The sequence below is a fragment of the Homo sapiens genome, chromosome 8, assembly GCF_000001405.40.
Source record: "Homo sapiens chromosome 8, GRCh38.p14 Primary Assembly".
Taxonomy (NCBI): Eukaryota; Metazoa; Chordata; class Mammalia; order Primates; family Hominidae; genus Homo; species Homo sapiens.
Window position 1 is genome coordinate 124056983 of NC_000008.11, and position 20955 is coordinate 124077937.

General features: G+C 41.8%; 1 protein-coding gene and 1 long non-coding RNA gene across 11 annotated transcripts in view; one reads left to right on the forward strand and one right to left on the reverse strand.

Annotated features, from left to right (window-relative positions):
• The window catches only part of FER1L6 (fer-1 like family member 6), a 268075-nt gene that overhangs the window by 204996 nt on the left and 42124 nt on the right, over positions 1–20955 (forward strand). For 9 of the 10 annotated variants that reach the window (NM_001039112.2, XM_011517231.3, XM_006716618.4 and 6 more), the window contains 10 exons: positions 3198–3308; positions 3566–3727; positions 4870–5050; positions 7365–7591; positions 9446–9568; positions 10785–10824; positions 12378–12493; positions 13485–13616; positions 14524–14649; positions 19216–19343. In NM_001039112.2, the coding sequence (NP_001034201.2) occupies positions 3198–3308; positions 3566–3727; positions 4870–5050; positions 7365–7591; positions 9446–9568; positions 10785–10824; positions 12378–12493; positions 13485–13616; positions 14524–14649; positions 19216–19343 (1346 nt within the window). Of the gene's footprint in view, positions 1–3197; positions 3309–3565; positions 3728–4869; positions 5051–7364; positions 7592–9445; positions 9569–10784; positions 10825–12377; positions 12494–13484; positions 13617–14523; positions 14650–16275; positions 16401–19215; positions 19344–20955 lie in introns of those variants that run through there. The other variant, XR_928347.3, reaches the window with a different exon arrangement.
• FER1L6-AS2 (FER1L6 antisense RNA 2) overlaps positions 1–20955 on the reverse strand; it is a 125452-nt gene that overhangs the window by 10912 nt on the left and 93585 nt on the right. The window contains exons 2-3 of the long non-coding RNA NR_103547.1: positions 3186–3810; positions 1806–1990 (exon numbers count right to left, since the gene is read on the reverse strand). This is a non-coding gene — a long non-coding RNA (FER1L6 antisense RNA 2). The remainder of the gene's footprint in view (positions 1–1805; positions 1991–3185; positions 3811–20955) is intronic.

The following is a 20955-nucleotide window of genomic DNA, read 5'->3' on the forward strand; positions in this document are numbered from 1 at the left end:
GCAGTGAGCAGGGATCGCACCTCTGCACTCCAGCCTGGGTGACAGAGTGAGACTGTCTCAAAAAAACAAAAAAACAAAAACAAAAAACCTTCCAGTAGATAGAGACCCTGCTCAAGCCCTCAAGACGATCTCCTCAAGTCACCAACTTTATCCCAGAGTTCACACTTACCTCTTCTAGTGGTTCTGGCTTTGCCATAATCTCACTATTTGACGCTGTGCCCATTAAATTTCCTCTTAGGTTTTTTTGTTTTGTTTTGTTTGCCTGGGTTGGAAACAATTTTCTTTCAGCTGAAGGTATTATTCCATTGTTTGGGCTGTGCTTTCTCTTTTGAGAGGTTGGTTATCATTCTTATTGTTGCTCCTTAAAAAGTGATCTTTATTTTTTTCCCTCATCTGATTGTTTTTAAGGTATTTTTCTTTATTTTTGGTTTTTAGCAGTTTTACTATGTTGTAATAAAGCACAGTTTTGTTTTCATCTTGTCGGATTTTATAGAGCTTTTAAAACCCTGGCTTGATGTTTTAAATTAGTTTTGGAAAATTGTCAGCCTTTATCTATTCAAAGATTGCTTCTGTCCTGTTCTATTCCTCCTCTTTTCTCTTCTCTCCCTTTTCTCCTTTCCTTGCCTCACCTCTTTTTGCCTGTCCTCTGTGATTCCAATTACATGTATATTAGACCTTTTAATCAGATACTCTGTGCCTCTTCTTTTATGCATTGTCTATCATTTTGTCTCTCTGAGCTTTATTTTATCCATAACATGGCCTATCTTCCAGCTCATTTCTCCTGCCTCTTTTTTAAAACCTATTCACTAAGTTCTTCTTTCCAGTGACTAAATTTTCAGCTATAGAATTTCCATTTCTTTTTTTATTATAGATTTCATTTATCTATTGAAATTTTTTATCTGGTTTCTTACTGAACAGATTAAGCATTGTTACTTTAAAGTTCATGTCTGATTACCACATTATCTGAATCCTCTGAGTCTTTCTTCGCTTAGTTTCTTCTTGTTAATCACATTGTCTTATCTCTGTGCATGCCATATTTTATTGCATGCTAGACATTTCTACATAAAAATATGTAGTGAGCTAGTAAGTGATAGAGCCCAAGTAACCACTGTACTAAAGATGAGAAATAATAGAAATATAAATTATGGGCTGAGGGAGACAGAAAGGAGAAAGGCTTCTGAGCATCAGTGATTTTTCAGATGGGCAGGGCTGGGACTAGGGTCATGCATGACCCTAAGAGTGAGTGCCTCCTTAACTTTTGTACCCTGTGTGCCACACTGGTTCACCCTTGTCCTGGAACTGAAGCTGGACCTACTTTGAGGTCCTGATATTTTACTTCCATGGGGATATTAGAGCAGTCTGGCTTTCAGACCAACTACCCATCCTGCTCACCACCATTTCTTACTATTTTGTCTTTATAACAATCGCTTGTTTTTCCCTGGCCTATGTGCTGAGTAACTGCATAGCATATGGTTTTATAGGCCAGCAACCAACCCATTTCACAGGAAAAAGCTTAATCTTGCTGGTAGCAAAGTCATTTAATTGCCACAATGTTATAGGATTCTTTAAGGGCTGTGTTGAGCTCTTAACAGCATTTTTCAGGCACTTACAAAGCAAAACTTCTTTGGCCATTTCCCAAGACACTTCAGGAGCCCCAGGATAAAACATATGATGCTTTTTAAAAAGCACATCTAGAGGCAGCCCCTCCTATGCCACCATCACAGCTGTTTCGTGGCTTTCCCTTTAAAGCCTGGGGGGCTATTAACTTTCCCAGTGAGGTGATGCTCGCAGGCTAAATTGCTCACCTCATCACTGCCAGGCAGTATTGGGCATTGCCATCCTCATTATTTACCAGCTTCTTGATCTGGGCTGGTGTATCCTGCAGCTTCATTACCTTAAGCCTATTGCGCATTTGCAGTGTCTGCTCTCCTTTTTCTGAGCTTTCTTGTAATTAGCTTAACCACATCTGCTGTTGCCAACGAGAATATGTCTGTGAAAACAGAATGGTGATATATTTGCATTTTGCAGATTTTGATGCACAGTTAGGCTTTTTCTAGCACACGGAGCATGTGGACTAATATGTCAGTCAACCGGTAAACATCTATCAAGAACTCACTGTACATGGAGGGGCTTGGAGAATGAAGTAAATAAAGACTTCCTATTGGCCAAGTCCCTGTAAATTGTTCAGGCAGACAAACAGCCCCAGTAAGGAGAACCACCTGCTCCAAAGCAATGTTTAATAGAACATATGATTCCCAAGGAGCTTGATGGGTCATCTGGCCCAATATCTGAGGCTCAGAGATGGAAATTTACTTGTGCAGGGTCACACAGCAGAGCCTTATTTCTGGACTCAGTCCTCTATTTCTGCACAAAATCTGCATAAAGGACATGTTGCATTCAAAAGGCATTGAATGGTAGAAGCAGCTGGGACAGGGTCAGAAAAAGCTTCTTTTATTTTTTGTTTTCTTTGGGGAAACCTTCTTGAAAGATGTATGTGTCGAACCAGGTTTTGAGGGCAGTGTGGGATGGCCTACACAGTGAAAAAGACCCTTTTCTCAGTAGAACTCTGTAAGTCCTTTGTGTGAAATTTCAGCAAAGCTGAAATTGTCCTGAAGTTTCATTAACCCCAAGTGCACAAGAAGAGACAAGTTTTCATCTGCCTTCAAAACATTTCATTTTCTGCTTCACTGATTAGGATGCAGTCTCTGTTGGATTAAATGTACATCCTTTTATTGTAGTAGTAGTATTAGTATTAGTAGCAGTAGTAGTGCATAATGGCTTTTCTGGAGATCTTGACAAGTCCGAAGGGAGTGGGGATCATTAAGACTCAAATGTTTGGAAACTGATAGAAGCTCCTTCTCCACTACCCTGCTGTGGTTCTTGTGTAATTTTATTAAGTTGTAAAGACCATCTTCCGTATTTGTTTTTCTCTCTCCCCTCTATACTGTGAGCTCTGTGTTATTAGCCTTGTGGTACATCTTAAGTGCTCGCTAAATGTTGGTTACCCTTGTAAATGACTGCATTTATCAATTAATAAATAATTAAATATGGTAAAATGCATGGTCCTTGTATTTTAAGCTGGAAACATTACTTTTGTTGGCAAAACAGTGAACATCTTACTGATGAGGTGGTTGTGTGGCACTGTTGCCTTCCCTGTGTCTCTCCAGCATCTAACTCATACTTGCCTTGTGCGGTAGGTTCCTCCTTCTGGGCTGCAAGGCCTCCCACCCGTTGAGCCACCAGACATCACCCAGATCTACCCGGTTCCTGCCAACATTCGGCCGGTGCTGAGCAAATACCGAGTGGAGGTACGGGTCAGCGGAGGAGCTGAGTTGTTCTTTGGCACTCAAGGGCAGTGGCCCCACCTGAATTGTAGGAGAGGTGATATGGAATGGGCGGGAGACCTAGAGAAAAAGAATGAGCCCTCAAAAAGCTGTGCAGTTCTTTCCTGGAGGAACACAGCGTGGTTCTCAGGGAGCAGGTCTAACTTTTCCACACAGAGCCAGGGCAGGTGTGGGGCTCCTCCGTGGATCTGTGGTGATGGCTCTGCTGGTCTTTTCCTCAGGTTCTCTTCTGGGGAGTTCGGGAAATGAAGAAGGTGCAGCTCCTCTCTGTGGATCGGCCTCAGGCTCTCATTGAGTGCGGAGGACAAGGTGTGAAGTCCTGCGTGATCCAGAGCTACAAGAACAACCCGAACTTCAGCATCCAGGCAGACGCTTTCGAAGTGGTGCGAGCTTCTCACTCTCCCGACCTGGCTCATTCCTCTTTTTTGCACAGATGAGATGTTTTAGGGTTTCAGATGTCCACTAGCTGCGAGAAAGAATTAATTTAGTGAAAAGCCAGAATTTCAGAATGAGATAAAATAGACTTTTGTTGTTGTTGTTTTGTTTTGAAACGTTTCCAGTGTGGATCATACAGCAATCAAAGCAGGTTGACAAACTTTTTCCTATAACAGTGGTTCCCAAAGTGTGGTCCCCAATTCATCAGCATCAGCATCACCTGAGAACTTGTTAGAAATGCTCATTCTCAGGCCCGGCTGTTCTGAGTTAGAAACTATTGCAGGGAAGGCCAGATGTTTCTGGTTTAACGAGGTTTCCAGGTAATTCTGATATATGATAAAATTTGAGAACCACTGGCCTAGAAAATACTGTAATAAGATTTATTTTAATGGCTACGTTTTTAAAAAAGTATTTGTACTTAGAATGTCAGGAGTTTACATGTGAATTTATGCTTCTGAAGTGATTTTTTTTGACATCTGTGCTTTTATTTATTTCAATATTTCAGCATACATTTTTGTGCTTCGATTTGAAACTAATTGCAAAGAAAAAATTGCTTTGCCCAACCCAGCCTGCTCCACTGGACATATATCCCCAGTTAGCAAAGCCTACAATGGAAGAATGTGCATGGTGTTTGCAAACCTTTTGTATCAGGCTGCATTGAGTCTCGGGGGCCACCAGGGAAAACAGGTGGCTGGGGCACTGTCCCTTCACTCTCAGCTCTGTATTAAATGGCTCGACTTTCATCTCTTTTATATAATGGGCCTGGATAAGCTGTCTTTGGAGATGAGAGTTCTGTTGGCAGATAATGACAAAATAAAGAGGTCTGAAAATGACTGTCAGAGAGAGTGCAGAGGTGAGAGGTTTTGTAATTTAAACCTGCGACAAATTGTTACTAAGGCAGACTTCCTATTTGGGTGAATTACTCCCTGGCTCGGGAAGACACTGCTCCAGAGTTTTGGCAATCTGCAGGACTGGCCAGGAGGGACAGAATGGCAAGGCAGAGACAAGGGAGACTGGATGCCCAGCTGGCTTTGGGTCTGCCCATGGAAGGGTCACCAGGCCCCTTCTTCATCTCATCCTCTCTCTGCAGGAACTGCCTGAGAACGAGCTTCTGCACCCGCCACTGAGCATCTGCGTGGTGGACTGGAGAGCTTTTGGGAGGAGTACCCTTGTGGGCACCTACACCATCAACTACTTGAAGCAGTTTTTGTGTAAACTCAGAGAGCCCCTTGCCCCCATCACACAGGTGGATGGAACCCAGCCTGGGCACGGTGAGAAGCTGCTCTTAGATTTTGTAGCTGTAACTATAAAGTCATGGTGCCTGCAGAGTGCCTGCTGTGGGATTGGCTCAAAGAGGATGCCCCACAGCCAAGTGGCTGGGTGGATCTTTCTGATGAGCTTGCTCCTGCAGGGGCCTCTGCTTTCTTTGGCTCCCACATTCTTACTTTGACTCACATTGGGTCAGTAACTCTAACATGCCTTCCTTGAATATGACTTAAGCTCCTTCCTGCCTCCATGCTGACATTTTACTTGGCTCTGTGCTTGATGTTGTTTTAGTTTGTTCAATTTTGGATCTCAGGTGCACAAAGTTGAGTTCATTGCACGTCTCAGTTCCATGCTCTACAATCATCACTGGTCTATTCAAAGATTCTCTCATTCTATCCACTGTCCTCCTTATTCCTTATCTCTAATCCCAGTGCCCTCCCCACTGCAGGCCTTACGCCAGCATCCTTGTCAAATTTAAGTCGATTTAATCTACCTAAATAATATGATGCTATAATTTTCATTTGTTTTCCTATTCTTTTCACTCAATTCTCTGTTTTAAGCTCTATCCATATTGCTGTGTGTACATTAGCCTGTTACTATTACTCGCTGCATCTACAATTTACTTTTCCTTTCCTCTCATATTAGACCCATTGACTACCTCAACTCCCCTTTCCATGATCAGTGCTGCAATGAATATCCCTGTGTGTGTTCCCTGAGGGAAGACGCTATGTGGGAATTTCTCTGGAATGTACACCCAGGGGTGAGATGACTAGGTCCCAGTAAATACGCACATGTATTTTCATTAATTAGCGCCAGGGGCCACTCCAGAGAGCTGCACTGATCTACACCAGTCTACATCAGTCTATACTGCCAGTTCTGCATTTGGAACCCCATTTTTCTCCTCTTCAGCAGCACCTGCTATTATCCAACTTTCTAGATTTTTGTTTTGCTTTGGTTTGGTTTTAGTTTTTTGCTACCCTGTGGACACAAATTAGTATCTAATTTTTATTTTAACTTGTATTTCTCTGCTTGCTACTGTTTGCACACCCTTCATACCCTTGCTGCCATATTAATCTTCCTTCTGTGATGCCAGTTCATGTCCTTTGCCCATATTTTATGTGCTTTAATTTTCTTTTTGATTCACAAATTCTTTGTATTTTCTAGATGTTAAAATCCTGTAGATTGTAGATATTGTTCATATCTTTTCCTAGTATGATAACTACTAACCTTGTCTATAATTCCTATCTATGAGCAGAAATCCTTAATTGAGATATACTCAGACCCCTCCATGTTTTAAACTTTATAGTTTATATTTTTAGTCTTGTTTAAGGAACGCTTTCTCACCCCTTGGTCACAAAGATATTATCTTATATTCTGCTAGCTTTATAGTTTTAGCTTTCTCATTTAGATCTTTAATCATCTGCATTTATATATGATTTTAAGTGGAGATTCAGCTGCAGTTTTCTCCACATAGAGCACCGTTTTCCCCCAAAGGGTCTACTAACCTATCATTCGTTTTCCCAATGATTTGTACTGCCATCTTTCTCATAAACCAAGTTGTCATACATCCCCTGTCCATTTCTGAGATTTCTAGTCTGTCTCACTGGTTTCTTTGTGTCTATGCCCAGTATGGAGTAGATACCCATAAGAGTTTGTTGGGTTGAATTTGCTGTTGGAAAGTCAGCAAATGGGGAGAGAGAAACTCAGGAGTCTGTGGCAGCCATGGGGGTACCGAACTGGGAAATGTTCCTGAGTGCTGACTCCTACAGCATAAAACGGAGAGATGAGGACCATTGGCAGTGAAGGACAGCATTATAACCTTTCTATGGCATCAGAAGCCCAGTTAAGAATCTCATGAACTCTGGACATACCCCTGCTCCCTGCCAAGCACATGTACTTTTGTGCCCAGAGTTCTGCCTACAGTTGGCGGCTTCATGGCTCTCTGGAGCTCCAAAGCCTCCCCAGATTAACACACAGCAGGGGGACAATCCCCCTAGACACAGAATCTGCACCCTAAACCTTGATTTTCATAATCCCAATGACCACAATTGATTAAAATTACTTTGAGGAATCAATAACAAATACAACCATTTATTGATGACCCATTATGTGCCAGATGCCTTACATCGTGGTCTTATTTCATCCTCCTAGTGAGATGGGTATTTTTACTGTCATTTTATACATAAGAAAATGAGGTTCAGAAATATTAGCAACCTGACGTATTTGAATCCGAATCTGTCTGATTCCTAGTATTAGGTCCCTGAAACGACCACCCTGTGATGCAGCCCAGCTCCCTGACCTGATGTGCTTTCATTTCAGATATTTCAGATTCGCTAACAGCCACTGAGTCCTCTGGAGCCCACAGCTCCTCCCAGGATCCCCCAGCAGATCACATTTATGTGGATGTTGAGCCACCTCCCACAGTGGTGCCCGACTCTGCCCAGGCCCAGCCGGCCATCCTGGTTGACGTCCCTGACTCATCCCCGATGCTGGAGCCTGAACACACACCTGTAGCCCAGGAGCCACCAAAAGATGGAAAACCTAAGGTCAGACTAAAATCCCTCTCTATATTTACAAGGCTCATTGGAGTTTGCATTGCAGGTCTCAGACAATATGAAGTTGCTTGCAGTGTGACCATGGGCAAGCAGCTTCACATTTCTGAGTATCGGTTCATCCTTTGTAAAATGAGGATACTGTTACCCACTTCACAGCTTTGTTATAGGATCAGAAGGTTAATGTGCATGAAATTAAAGTGCTGGTCAAATGTGACAGTAATATTTAATGGAACGGAAACTCTTCTTAATTCATTAGCTTGGAAAGGCCATGGGTTTCTTCCTCCAAGTGTGTTCCACAAATATTTAGGTCCTACTTTGTACAAGATCATATGGGACCAAGAAGATGCATCTTTTGGATTCCAAAGAGGAGGAAAACAGTTAGTGACGGTTCTGGAAGGAGAGATTGACAAGTACACAAAGAACCACAAAACAAGGATATAGTTAATCTTTCTAAATTATATATTTGAGTGAAAAATCTTGGTGTATCAATTGAATTAAAAGAGAAGGCCATTTTAAGAATGTCTTAAGGGGCCGGGCATGGTGGCTCACACCTGTAATCCTAGCACTTTGGGAGGCCGAGGTGAGTAGATCACTCGAGGCCAGGAGTTCAAGACCAGCCTGGCCAACATGCTGTAACTCCATCTCTACTAAAAAAAAAAATACAAAAAATTAGCCAGGTGTGGTGGCACTCACCTGTAATCCCAGCTACTCCAGAGGCTGAGGCAGGAGAATCACTTGAGCCTGGGAGGCGGAGGCTGCAGTGAGCCGAGATCATGCTACTGCATTCCAGTCTGGGCAACAGAGCGAGCCTCCATCTCAAAAAAAAAAAAAAAAAAAAAGCAGCTCTTAAGGAACAGCCTGCCCAGCAAATGGTAAAGGCTGAGATAAAAAGAAGAGTGGAAAAGTGAGATAGATGCATGGACATTTGCACGGGCTGCTCTCATTTCATCCATGGTCAGCGACCCTCTGTGACGCCTTACCAGGTTTGCTGCATTCCCCTAGCATTGCACCTGTGACTTTCTGTTGACTTCTCGGATTCAGTGTTCATCATTCAGTGTTCATCTCAGATTAATCATAAAATTGTGAGCCTCAGCAGAGAAGAGATAATTTTTCAACATCTCTATACCCCCGCACTCGATAGAGTGCCTGGGTCATAGTACAACTTAAGAGATGACTTGGCGAGTGAATGGAAGATGAATGCATGATGAGTGCTGCATCCATAGGCTCCAGCAGGACACCCGTCTTCTTCCATGAATGCCACCTTTCTGCCACACGTCTATCACTCCCTCTCCTGCCACCCCATCAATTATGTGATAGAAGTCATTTACTTGTACCCATTCAAATCAGAAATGACACCAAAGAATTGCCTAAATTATGTACTTAATCCTCAGAACAGTTGTGGGTATTATTGTCCCTAGTTGAGGAAACTGAGAATTACAACATTTATATTAATTGCTTAATGATTTATAACCCAGGTCAGTATGAAGCTAATGCCTTTTCTGCTATATTGCATTGCATCATGTAGTGTAGTTCTCATTTGTTGCATGCCTAGCTCCTGTACTGTATCCAGAGTAGGATTGTGTCTAATTCTCCACACATCCTTAATGTCAAAACCAGTATCTCACGTATGCTCAATAAATGCTAAATGAATGAGTGAATGAATGAATAGATTCTTGAACTTTCATTTGTGGAAGTGATACAGAGAGCTGCTATCACAAAACCAGTGGATACCTCTGTGTGTTTTCCAGTGGACACCTAAATGTTTTCTTCCTCACAAGCCAGTTGACCATCAGCATGCAGCCAAATGAGGTTGAACTAATAACCCATTCCCTCATCCCTTGCCAGGATCCCAGGAAGCCTTCCCGGAGGTCCACTAAGAGGAGAAAGAGGACCATAGCAGATGAATCTGCTGAAAACGTGATTGACTGGTGGTCTAAGTATTATGCCTCCCTGAAGAAAGCCCAGAAGGTAGAGTCTCCCCTACCTGTGGCAGTTAAGAGATTCAATAAGGAAACACAGCACCTTCTCCTACCCTAAGTCCTACATAACCTCCTTTTAAATGCCACTATACATAGACCCTACTCAGGTGTGGTTCTGTTAACTGCAGAAAGGTAAAAAGCCTGGAAGAACCAGAGATACGGAATTACAAAATTCCTACTTTTTGGCTGGAGCTGGCCCTAGGACATAAGCTCTGCTGTAAATACTGGAAGGATGTTCAGTCTAGCATGGTATCTGGAGGATCTGCCCCCACAGCCAGACTCAGGGGGGTCCAGCAGGGAGAAATGGGGTCTCTGGATAGGTGGGCATCAATGACTGAGGCCTCAGGAGATACCCTAGTCTAAGGACCCCAAGTCTTCAGCAGGATTCTAAGTTCACATGGGAAATTATCAAAGGCAGAGGTCTTGGCCTTAGGAAATGGTATTATAAGTGGGTTTACATAGCAAGAGCAGGGCCTCATGTCCATGGAATGAGACAGATCTAGTTATGAAGCTGGAGAGACAGTGGGGAGTAGGCCTGGAGAGTCCGGCAAAAGCTCGGCAACTGGATATGGTAAGATTTCCCTGAGTACAAAAGGGAAGAAAAATTACTCCGATGTTGTATTTAATTGAATGCACTTCTGCTTCTTTAGTTTGGAAAGGCTATGGTTGCATCTAGGACTATTTCTCAAATATTGATATATACCGAAAAAGCAAATGTTAGTCCCTGCCTGCAACCTCCCTCCTTTTGCTGCAATGGACACTATCACTTCCTGTGAGAACTCAGCCCTTTCCCCTTTCTCTGCTAACCTCCCCAACCTATGGTACCATCCCAAAGACCAGAAACGCCAACAGACACAACTCATGGTGCAGATGAGGGAGATGCTCCAGGGAGGTGGAAAAATATTGGGGAGATAGTTTGCTTGCCTCGTGGCTGAGAGGGTACTGCATATAAGGGACAAAGATGTCTATAGCTTGATCATACTTTTCTTGGAAGTGCGGATACCTCTTTTTTAGGATAGGGCATCCTATTGGGCTTAACCCCCAGATCTTTACAGTGCGGCTTCATTTTGGGGGACTGCTTACAGACTGTTTGAATACTCTTTTAAAATAGTGTCTCTGGGAATGCAGAGGGCTGAGATAATTGTTAGCAGTCAATTAATAAATCAAGTATTGTGGTGTCAATAATATTGTCTCCTTTTTCAAAGGCAAAGGAGAGAAATCCCAAGGGAAAAAAAGGCAATACAGGTAAGCAGTTATTCTGGGGACATTTGTCCATAGAATAGGGCCATCGTTACGAGAAAATTGTAAAATGGAAGCCACGGGAGGTGTATTAGAGCTCAACTCCCTCCTTTCCCGAGTTTAGAAACAATCTCAGGAAGATGACAGCACTTTAAAATGTGGTCATGTAGCTCTTGGTGCTGGGCTGGAACCAGATCTCAGTTCTTCTGAATTCAGCTCAGTGCTGGAATGGACCCTTTGGCTCAAGTTCCTATGTTGACAGTCTTAATGTAGAAACCGTAGAATAAAAATAGAAGCAATCTGGATGACTGGCCAAAATCAACATGATAAACTTTGTTAGAGGTGAGTTCCAAAACTCAGTCTACAGGATTGGATAGATCTTGTTTGGCAGAAAGTCAGATTTCAAATGACCACAAACTCAATTCAAGCCAACAGTAAGTCTCAGCCTAAATACAACTGTAACGTTAAGCAGCCAATGTTGTTTCATTTGACGATGATAGAAGTGGAAAAACTAGAGCCAGGCTCAGTTCCTCAGACCACTCCTAATTAGCACATGTAATTCTAAGACCAACCCCATGTCATAGGAAATAGTATCTTCACCTTGCAAATGATGAAAGAGAGGTACAAGGAGGTCAAGTAATCTGTCCAACATTACACAGCTAGAAAATAACAGAGCTACAGTCCGTATCAGGTGGTTTCTCCCCTGCAGAGCCTACTGCTAAAAAATTACTGAGTAATCCCCCTAACAACTTTGCGCAAGACCCTTAGGATATTTGAGCCTCATATTGAACTAGATGTATCTCAATTCCCTTAATGGATCTGACAGAGTGTGACTCCAAAAAGCTTTGGAGTCAGTCCAAGTTCTGAGTCTGTTCTTTGCTAGTTGGGTGAATGGGCAAATTATTTATTCTCTCTGTGCCTAGTTTAATGAGTTCTTACATGTACTGTAACCCACTGGCCCATAGATTAGGGCCATTGCCCTATTCCTATTGCTCAGCCCTAGGGGATCCACTGACGCTGGATTTATATGTGCATGGGGTGCCCTGCAGTCAGGCAGTGTACAGACTGTATGTAACAATCCTACAGCAAAAAGTTACTATTTCTTTTTAAAAAGAAGGGTCACAAGTTACTATTTCTTTTTTTTTTTTTTTTCCGAGACGGAGTCTTGCTCTGTCGCCCAGGCTGGAGTGCAGTGGTGCAATCTTGGCTCACTCCAAGCTCCGCCTCCCAGGTTCACACTATTCTCCTGCCTCAGCCTCCCGAGTAGCTGGGACTACAGGCGCCCGCCACCATGCCTGGCTAATTTTTTGTATTTTTAATAGAGACGGGGTTTCACCGTGTTAGCCAGGATGGTCTCGATCTCCTGACCTTGTGATCTGCCTGCCTCAGCCTCCCAAAGTGCTGGGATTACAGGCGTGAGCCACCGTGCCTGGCCACAAGTTACTATTTCTGAAGGGTCACAACATAGGACATGTCAGCAAAAGGAAAGAAGGAGCTTGGCTTTGTTCCTTCTCATCTCAACCGCCATGAGAAACCTAATTTCTGCTGAATATCCACAGAGGCAAAGCCAGATGAGGTAGTGGTAGATATAGAAGATGGGCCAAAGAAGAAGAAAGACAAAATGCTCAAGAAGAAACCCAAAGATGATGGAATCCCCAACCTGGCCATCTTGCAGGTATGTGGGGACACAGGCATCTCTGCCATGGATGGGGAGGGATGCTCAGCAATGAGGTTCTGTCAGTGCTTTGGTCAACCCTAGTCATGCCTTTGTTTGATATTTTGTCTTCATTGTCACCGATGTAGAGAAGTAAACTTTGATGTGCATTTAAGCCAAGACAGGAAGCTTGTTCATTTTCCATTTCCTATACCCTCATATTGAGAAGGGGTGTAACTTAAATTGTTTAATGTGGACCTTACAAAGTAATCTACAGCATTTGAGCTCCCCTTGGCCCATCTCTAGGTGCTTGTCATCATCATGCAAATGTGTACACACTCAAGGTAACAGGAGATTTAACTCCAACTAAAGTCAGCTCCATTAGGCCAATCTTAACATTAGTTAGAGGGTATTAGCTAGAGATATATTGATGGCTATGAAAATTTGAAGGGTGAAAATTATATATATAGATAACCAACTTGGGTAAGCAATTTATATAGGAAAGTTGAATAAGTAAATTATACTACCAAACCTAAAACTCAACTCAATTTTGCATTTCCAAAGCATATATATAATTTTCCACCTGGAAATTTCATGTCTATATGCATTACAATAAAAACAAATATTCCATCGCCTTATATGTGTTCAGAATTAGATATTTAATGAACATTATTGATTTGAATCTCCTCAAAGTATTATAGTCTATATCCAACAACCAATGGCATCAACTAGCTCTAAAAGGTTTGTTGTATCTATACTTATATATTACAATTTTTTAAATTTACCTATACTTTTTGGAATTTAAAAGTTCATCAGAACATTTCATAGTAGTAGTTTCAGGAGTGCTGAGCCAATCCACGTTCCTTATCTCACTGAAGATAAATTACCAGTGGCCTCAGATTTTCCCAAGGGGCATATATCAAGGCTGGTTTTGGAGAATCTTGGCATTTCTCATTAAATCAATCCTGGGCTTTCCTTCCTCTTAGCACAATCTTCTCCCTTTTCCCTAAAGATATATGACGGTGATCTCGAGAGTGAATTCAACAATTTTGAAGACTGGGTGAAAACTTTTGAGCTCTTCAGAGGCAAGTCTACGGAAGATGACCATGGTCTTGATGGAGACCGAGTCATAGGAAAATTTAAGGCAGGTTCCATTTTTAATCCTTTTATTTGGCTCTCCCTGTCCATAAATGTCAGCTATGACTCGATTCTGTTAATGGAATTGTGGTGTGGGATGTGTGTAGGGAAAATCCTTAATTTTTACTCAAGTCCCTCTCTAGAACTCCACAAAACCTAGCCCCAGTCTTTTAAGATATTTTTGGTTTGTGACCAGTGGATTGGAGCTCAGTCTGGTGAAAAATAAGGAGACAGAGTCATTACCTGAAAGGAACACTGAACTTTACTTTGTTCTCTCCCCTCCGGCATACCAAATGTGTGATTTATGCAAGCCTACCAGTTGGACGATTAAACTAATCAAGCAACACAAGCCCTTCATCTGGCAGACTTACAGTGTGAACATCACAAAGTAGTAGCCAGCATTCACTATAAACATACTACAAGCTGGGCCCTTTCTATGCAGCATGCTATGTTGGAAATAGCACAGGCATTACAGTTTGCCCATCTGGATTCAAATTCTAGTTATAGTATTAACCAGCTGCATGATCTGGAACAAAGTGCTTCACTTCCCTAAGCCTCAGTTGCTGTCTGGAAATAGGAATACTGCAGTCAGGATTGAATGAGATAATGGGGAAGCACTAGCACCGCACCCCACATGTAAAAGGCACTTCGTGTCCCATCTGTTCTGTTCTTCATATAACAGTCCTGTGAGGGGGTTGTTAATGTACAATGCCAATTCACTGGTGTACCATGAAGAAGCTCAGATGCAAGCAGGCTACATAAATTGCCCAAGGACACCCAACTGGCAAGTTTAGCACCAAACCAGGTCCTGCAAATTCCCAAGCTGTGCCCATTTTCCCAGCACAGTGCTCTCTGTGGGTTTTGGTGGGACATATGACCATCTCATTTCAATGGGTTGCGTTTTGTGGTTCCAGGGCTCCTTCTGCATCTACAAAAGCCCCCAGGATTCTAGCTCTGAGGACAGCGGGCAGCTGAGAATCCAGCAAGGGATTCCGCCCAATCACCCTGTCACAGTGCTGATCAGAGTATACATTGTCGCGGTGAGCCATTCTTGTTTGCTCTGAGGGGGTGTATTTATCTGCTCAGGCTGCCATAACAAAATATATGGCAGACTGGGAGGCTTAAACAACAGAAATTTACTTTCCCACAGTTTTGAATGCCATAAGTCTATAATCAAGTTGCTACCAGGGTTGGTGTCTTGTGAGGCCTCTCTTGCTGGTTTGTGGATGGCTGCCTTCTTGCTGTGTCCTCACACAGCCTTTCCTCTGTGCACGTGTATATAGGGAGAGTGCGAGCTCTGATATCTCCTCCTTTTCCTATAAAGACACTAGCCCTGTCATATTAGAGCAGCACCACTATGACCTCATTTAACCTTAATTACCTCCCTAAAGCTGTGTCTCCAACTACAGTCACCTTAGGAGTTAGGGGTTCAACATATAGGGGTATGAAGTTAGGCTGGCAAAACAGACATGTTATGGCTTTTCTGAGCATATAGGACTGTTCCGTCTGTGTAGTTTTATCTGCTCCCTATGGTTGCCTACGGCAGGAGAGGGAACCAAATAGGAGGGAAGCAGGAAACTACAGGAAAGACGGGGGGAAGGACCAAGGCAGAACAGGGCAGCTGTTACTGTGAAATTCTCCTCACAGCCATGCCTCTGCACTATTGCAGTAGAAAATTTCACTTTGAGTGTATTTCCAAGAAAGATGTTAACTCCTCTAAGCTTCCCTCTTTCTGATAATGACAGCACAAAACTTTGACTATGAAACTTTTCGGCCTCATTAGCAGGAAGCTCAGGGCCAAATTTAATGCTCCATCAAAGCAACTGTATGAACCCCAATGGTTCATGGATTTGTTTTAATCTCCTGACCTTGGATGTGGTTTTTGTAATTGTATTATTTTATTATAATGCTCTTATTTTATATCAACCGTTTGCTTCCATTGCCTACATTCTTTCAAAGGAACATAAATGTAACACAAAATAAAAATGAATTATCCTTTAATGCTAAGGGAGAAATAAATATTCTTCCATCATGCAGTTCTCAGGTTTCCTTCATCATCCTCTGCATCTTCCCCACAACCACCATGTGCCAGGGATGTTGTGATGAAAAGAACATAGTCTCTGCCTTCAGGGAAGTCACAGTGTAGTTGGAAAGATGAGAAGAACTTAGAGTCACTGACAATGTTGGGTAGTCAACATGAAACACCACCCTCAGGATGCCTCAGGATGCTTTAGACTAACCTTTTCAAAATTTTGTTCAGGAAGTCACTTGGGTTTTGGGAGAAACAGGCACTCCTTAGCAAACAGAACGTATGTTCAAATAAATTTGAGAAGTAGCGTGTATTTCCTTCTCCAGGCTTTGAGACTCACAAAGCTCATTAGCACATTCAAGGCTCTGAGAATTTCAGAAGCAAACAAACCTATTTAGTAATCTTGAACAGCATTTTCTAAACTTTTGCCTCATACCTTTTTTCCCCTGCAGAAAATCTTACAGAGCTATAGTTCTCTAAGATACAGTTTGGGGAATCCAGAAATAGTATGAACAGTAGGAAGGAGAGGGAAGAATTTCTGTGAACTACAGAGATTGGAGAAAGATCTGTCTCCTTATTCATGTATTCATTCAGAAAATATCTACTGCACACCTTTTATGTGTTTACTATCTTCTAGGCAAAGGCCAGATAAACAGATCAGGTTTCTGTCCAGGAGGTAGCATGGGGGACGGAGGCCTTGGGCTGGAACTTGACGACAGGAGGGACTTGAACAAACAGGGAGTCAGAAGATGGCAGTCCTAGGTAAATTCACTACAGTTATGGACAGTCAATACTTTTCATTGATATTTCTAGTAGTTTGATTATGTGTGGTTTGCTCTCGTACTAATAATTAAATGAATTCTCAAACCTTTTAATTAAAAGAACACTAACAAGTAAAAAAAATACTACTTAAAACTCGCATAAAGAAATAAATCAAATTTCCCCACCTCTTTTTTTCCTTAGTTTACAAGATAGGTTGGCCATTTTTTTCTAGATTAGTATGTATAGGTCTTCATTCCTTTTAGTAGCTGTATAGCATTTTCTTGAATAAATGTATTCATTTATTCAACAAATATTAAGACCCTGTTCTATGTCCTAGAGGTAAAGTAATGAACAAGATAAACAGTGCCATTGCTCTCATGGAGATTACATACTAGTTGAGAGTGATGTGGGAATTAAGAAGATATAAAATAAACAAAGGAACGGATAAATTAACAGGATTTGTGTCACAGATAACTGCTTTGTAAAGAATTAAAATTGGCTGATGTGACAAGAAGAAATGGGAAGGACTGTTTTGCATTGTGTTTCTTCCCAAGTAATCAACAAATAGGTTGCTTATAATTTTTGGCTATTAAACAGTGTTCTAGTGAACATCCTTGAACATACAGCTTTATAGGCTCACCTTATTCTATCTACAGGATAGAGTCCTAAATATGGAATTGTTTCTCAGCTTTCATTGCTGCAGAGTTTCTCCATCTTTTTGATACCATTTCTTACCATCCTCCTACTCTGGCCTTTCCTTAGAAAGTATTTGCTTTTGACAGTTTAAGGCCTAGGTTGTCTAGAATCAGACTTTACTCTCAGAAAAGATCATCATTCAACTGGTCAGTGCTAAATGCAAGAGTCATAGGGTCATGGATTCAGAGACCATTAGTTCTGGGAAGGGCCTTCAGGTCCAGACCATGATTTTACAGATAGATCTCAGAGAGATGACATGATTTGCCCAATATCACACACTACTTAGAAATGTAGTCAGGCCAGGTGCAGTGGCTCATGCCTGTAATCCCAGCACTTTGGGAGGCCAAGGTGGGCAGATTGCTTGAGCTCAGGAGTTTGAGACCAGCCTGGGCAACATGGTGAAACCCCATCTCTGATACAAAAATTAGTGGGGCGTGGTGGCTCATGCCTGTAGTTCCAGCTACTTGGGAGGCTGAGGTGGGAGGATCACTTGAGCCTGGGAGGCATAAGTTGCAGTGAGCCAAGACTGCACCACTGTACTTTAGCCTAGGTGACAGAGCAAGATACTGTCTAAAAAAAAAAAAAAAAGAAAAAGAAGAAATATAGTCATATATCTTTTAACGAAGGGAATACGTTCTGAGAAATGTGTTGTTAGGCTGTTTCAGTGCTGTGCAAGTGTCATACTGTATTTACACAAACCTAGATGGTATGGCCTCCTACACGATAGTATAGCCTATTGCACTCCTATGCTATAAACCTGTGTAGCACATTACTGTATAGACTACTGTAGGCAATTTTAACACAATGGTATTTGTGTATCTAAACATAGAAAGGTACAGTAAAAATACAGTATAAAAGATTTGAAAAAAATGGTACACCTGTCTAGGGCACTTACCATGAATGGAGCTTGCCAGACTGGAAGTTGCTCTGGGTGAGTCACTGAGTGGTGAGTGAATGTGAAGGCCTAGGATGTTACTGTCTGCTACTGTGGAGTTTAGAAACACTGTACACTTAGGCTACACTAAATTTATAACACACATTTTTCCTTATTCAATAATAAATTAGCTTACTATAACTTTTTTACTTTATAAACTTTTAAGTTTTTAACTTTTGACGCTGGTCAAAACAACATTTAGCTTAAAACACAAACACGTTGTTCAGCTGTACACAAATATGTTCTTGATATCCTTAGTCGATTAGCTTTTTTCTATTTTAAAATTGTTTTATTTTTTAAACTTTGTTGTTAAAAACTAAAACAAACACACACACGTTAGCCTAGGCCTACACAGGGTCAGGATCATCAATATCACTGTGTTCTACCTCCCCATCTTGTCCCACTGGAAGGTCTTCAAGGGCACTAACACGCATGGAGCTGTCATCACTTATAATAACACCTTTTTCTGGATGCCTTCTGATGGACCTGCCTATGGATGTTTTACAGTTAACTTTTTTTAATAAATAGAAAAAGTACACTCTAAAGACTAAAAAGTATAGTAAATACATAAACCAGTAACATCATTATTTATTGTCATTGTCAAGTATTATATACTATACATGATTGTATACTTTTATATGACTGTTAGCACAGTAGGTTTGTTTATAGCATCACCACAAACATGCGAGTAATGTGTTGCACTACAATGCTGCAACAGATATGTCACTAGATCATAGGAATTTTTCAGCTCCATTATAATTTTATAGGACTGCCATCGTACATGTGGTCAGTCCTTGACCAAGACATCATTAAGCGGTGCGTGACTGTAGAACTAGAACTCAAACTCATGCCTTCTGCCTCCTGGTCCGGCATTTTTCTCATTTTTCTGTGCCAAGAGCTTCTTTCCACTGAGGAGATGACTCCAGAGAAAGTTGCACTTGGGCAAAGCCAATAATTTTTCTTTTTAGCAGCAAAATGTAGATGCTAAAGTAGTGGCTCTTAACCTTGGCTGCACACTAGAATTATCTAGGGAGTTTTTCAAAAGCCCAAAGCCCTGGCCCGTTAAATCAGACTATCTAGAGACAGAAGTCAGGCATTAGCATTTTTGAAAGCACCAAGGTAATCCCAGTGTACAACCAATGTTGAGAGCTATTGAACCAAAGACATTTTCTTTTTCCTTTCCAGGCATTTAATCTTAGTCCAGCTGATCCAGATGGCAAATCAGATCCCTACATTGTGATCAAGCTTGGCAAGACAGAAATCAAAGACCGGGATAAATACATCCCTAAACAACTGAACCCAGTATTTGGAAGGTCAGTGGCCATCTGGGCTGTGTTTTATTGTCCTTTCTGCATTTGCTCCTGCTGTGTTTCTGTGGGGATAGTGCGTGTATGTTTGTGTTCCTGGGTGAAATGGTTCCAGGAGGTTAAATACTGGCTTCTGCTCTTGGTAATAACCAACCAAACCTACGTCCATGGAGCAGGGTTGAATTCTTTCATGGTCCCCTGAGGAATTTGGTGGTACTTGGTGATCTTCTTACCCATAGCTTTCTTTACTGTAATTTTTTTCTTTTTCTTTTTTTGTGAACTTAAGTAGAGAAATATATACTCACAGCTTTCTAATTACAATTTTCTGGATTTTAGATTTAATAGGCATCTTGCAGGGTCATTGGATTCGGCCTTGTGCTTTTGAACAGAGCAGAGATTTCCTTTTTATAAACAAGGCAGCCAAGGTCTAGGGAGGTTAAGAAACATATTCAAGTTCAGATGACACAATTGGAGAATAATGGGCCAGAAGTTTAGTCTTTTGTCTCCTACTAAAGGGATTTTTCTATCATATTATTCTGTGGTTCATTTGAGGTGACCCCTGAGGTCAAAGAGTTGAACTTTGTCCTCAAGTTGTGCTTTGTTTTCCTGTAAAGTGTTAAAAGCTATTGCATTTGTGTAAGGGGACTAGGCATTCACCAGCTCACAGCAATCCTGCCATGCTCACTGATCCTCCAATATGATGTGCTAAGCATTGGTGTTCCCTGTTTGAGTTTGTGCACCTGTCTGTCATTCACTCTGGAATCAAGGTGGCCTGGGTTTCACTCTGCTACATACCAGCTCTACAACCTTATGCAGATGGCTTAACCTCTCTGTTCCTAGTTTTCCTGACCTGCAAAGCAGCAACAGTGACACCTGACTCTCATATTCCTTTAGATGATTAAATGTAAAGCACCTAGCACATCACATTGCCTATGCCAGCACACAACTGACACTCAGAACACATTAGCTCCCTTGCTCCCCACCTTAGTAATTATTGTAGCAATGGATACATCTTTAGTGTGTTTAATTTCTTTTATCTTGAGTAAACAGGAACATGGCATAAAATCTCCATTGGCTCCATTTAAATTCATTTACACATCTGTGATCACTTTGGAGCCTCTGACATTTAATCAGCACTAGCCTCTTACATTTTATTGCTCCTGAGGAAATGAGGGCAATAAATGATCTTGCCTGTCCAGATTAATGAGAATGACAGTGCTGGGGAAACACCCTTTCTTCCCTCATCCAGTGATGACCTTTATCGTCACCTGCCACTTATGTAACTAGTGCTTCAGTGTGACAACCGCTTGGCAGGCACTTTTTATGAGCTACTTTCACCACAGTGCCATGAACTAGACTTGTTTTACTATCCGTGCTATATGGCCATGGCAAACGAGAAGAGGACGATGAAGTCAGTGTTCCCTCCTGCCTCTGACATTGCAGCACCTCATCCAAAAGCTCTCCAGATGTGGATGTTTAGTTGGATATGTGTTTAATTTTTACTTAGGAACAAAAGTTTCCAGCACAATCCCACAATGTTCCAGCAGGAAGAGAAGAGGGTTCTTGTGCTTGAGCCAGGGTCTGCGGAATCCTTCCTCATAACTTCAGTGCCTCAGTA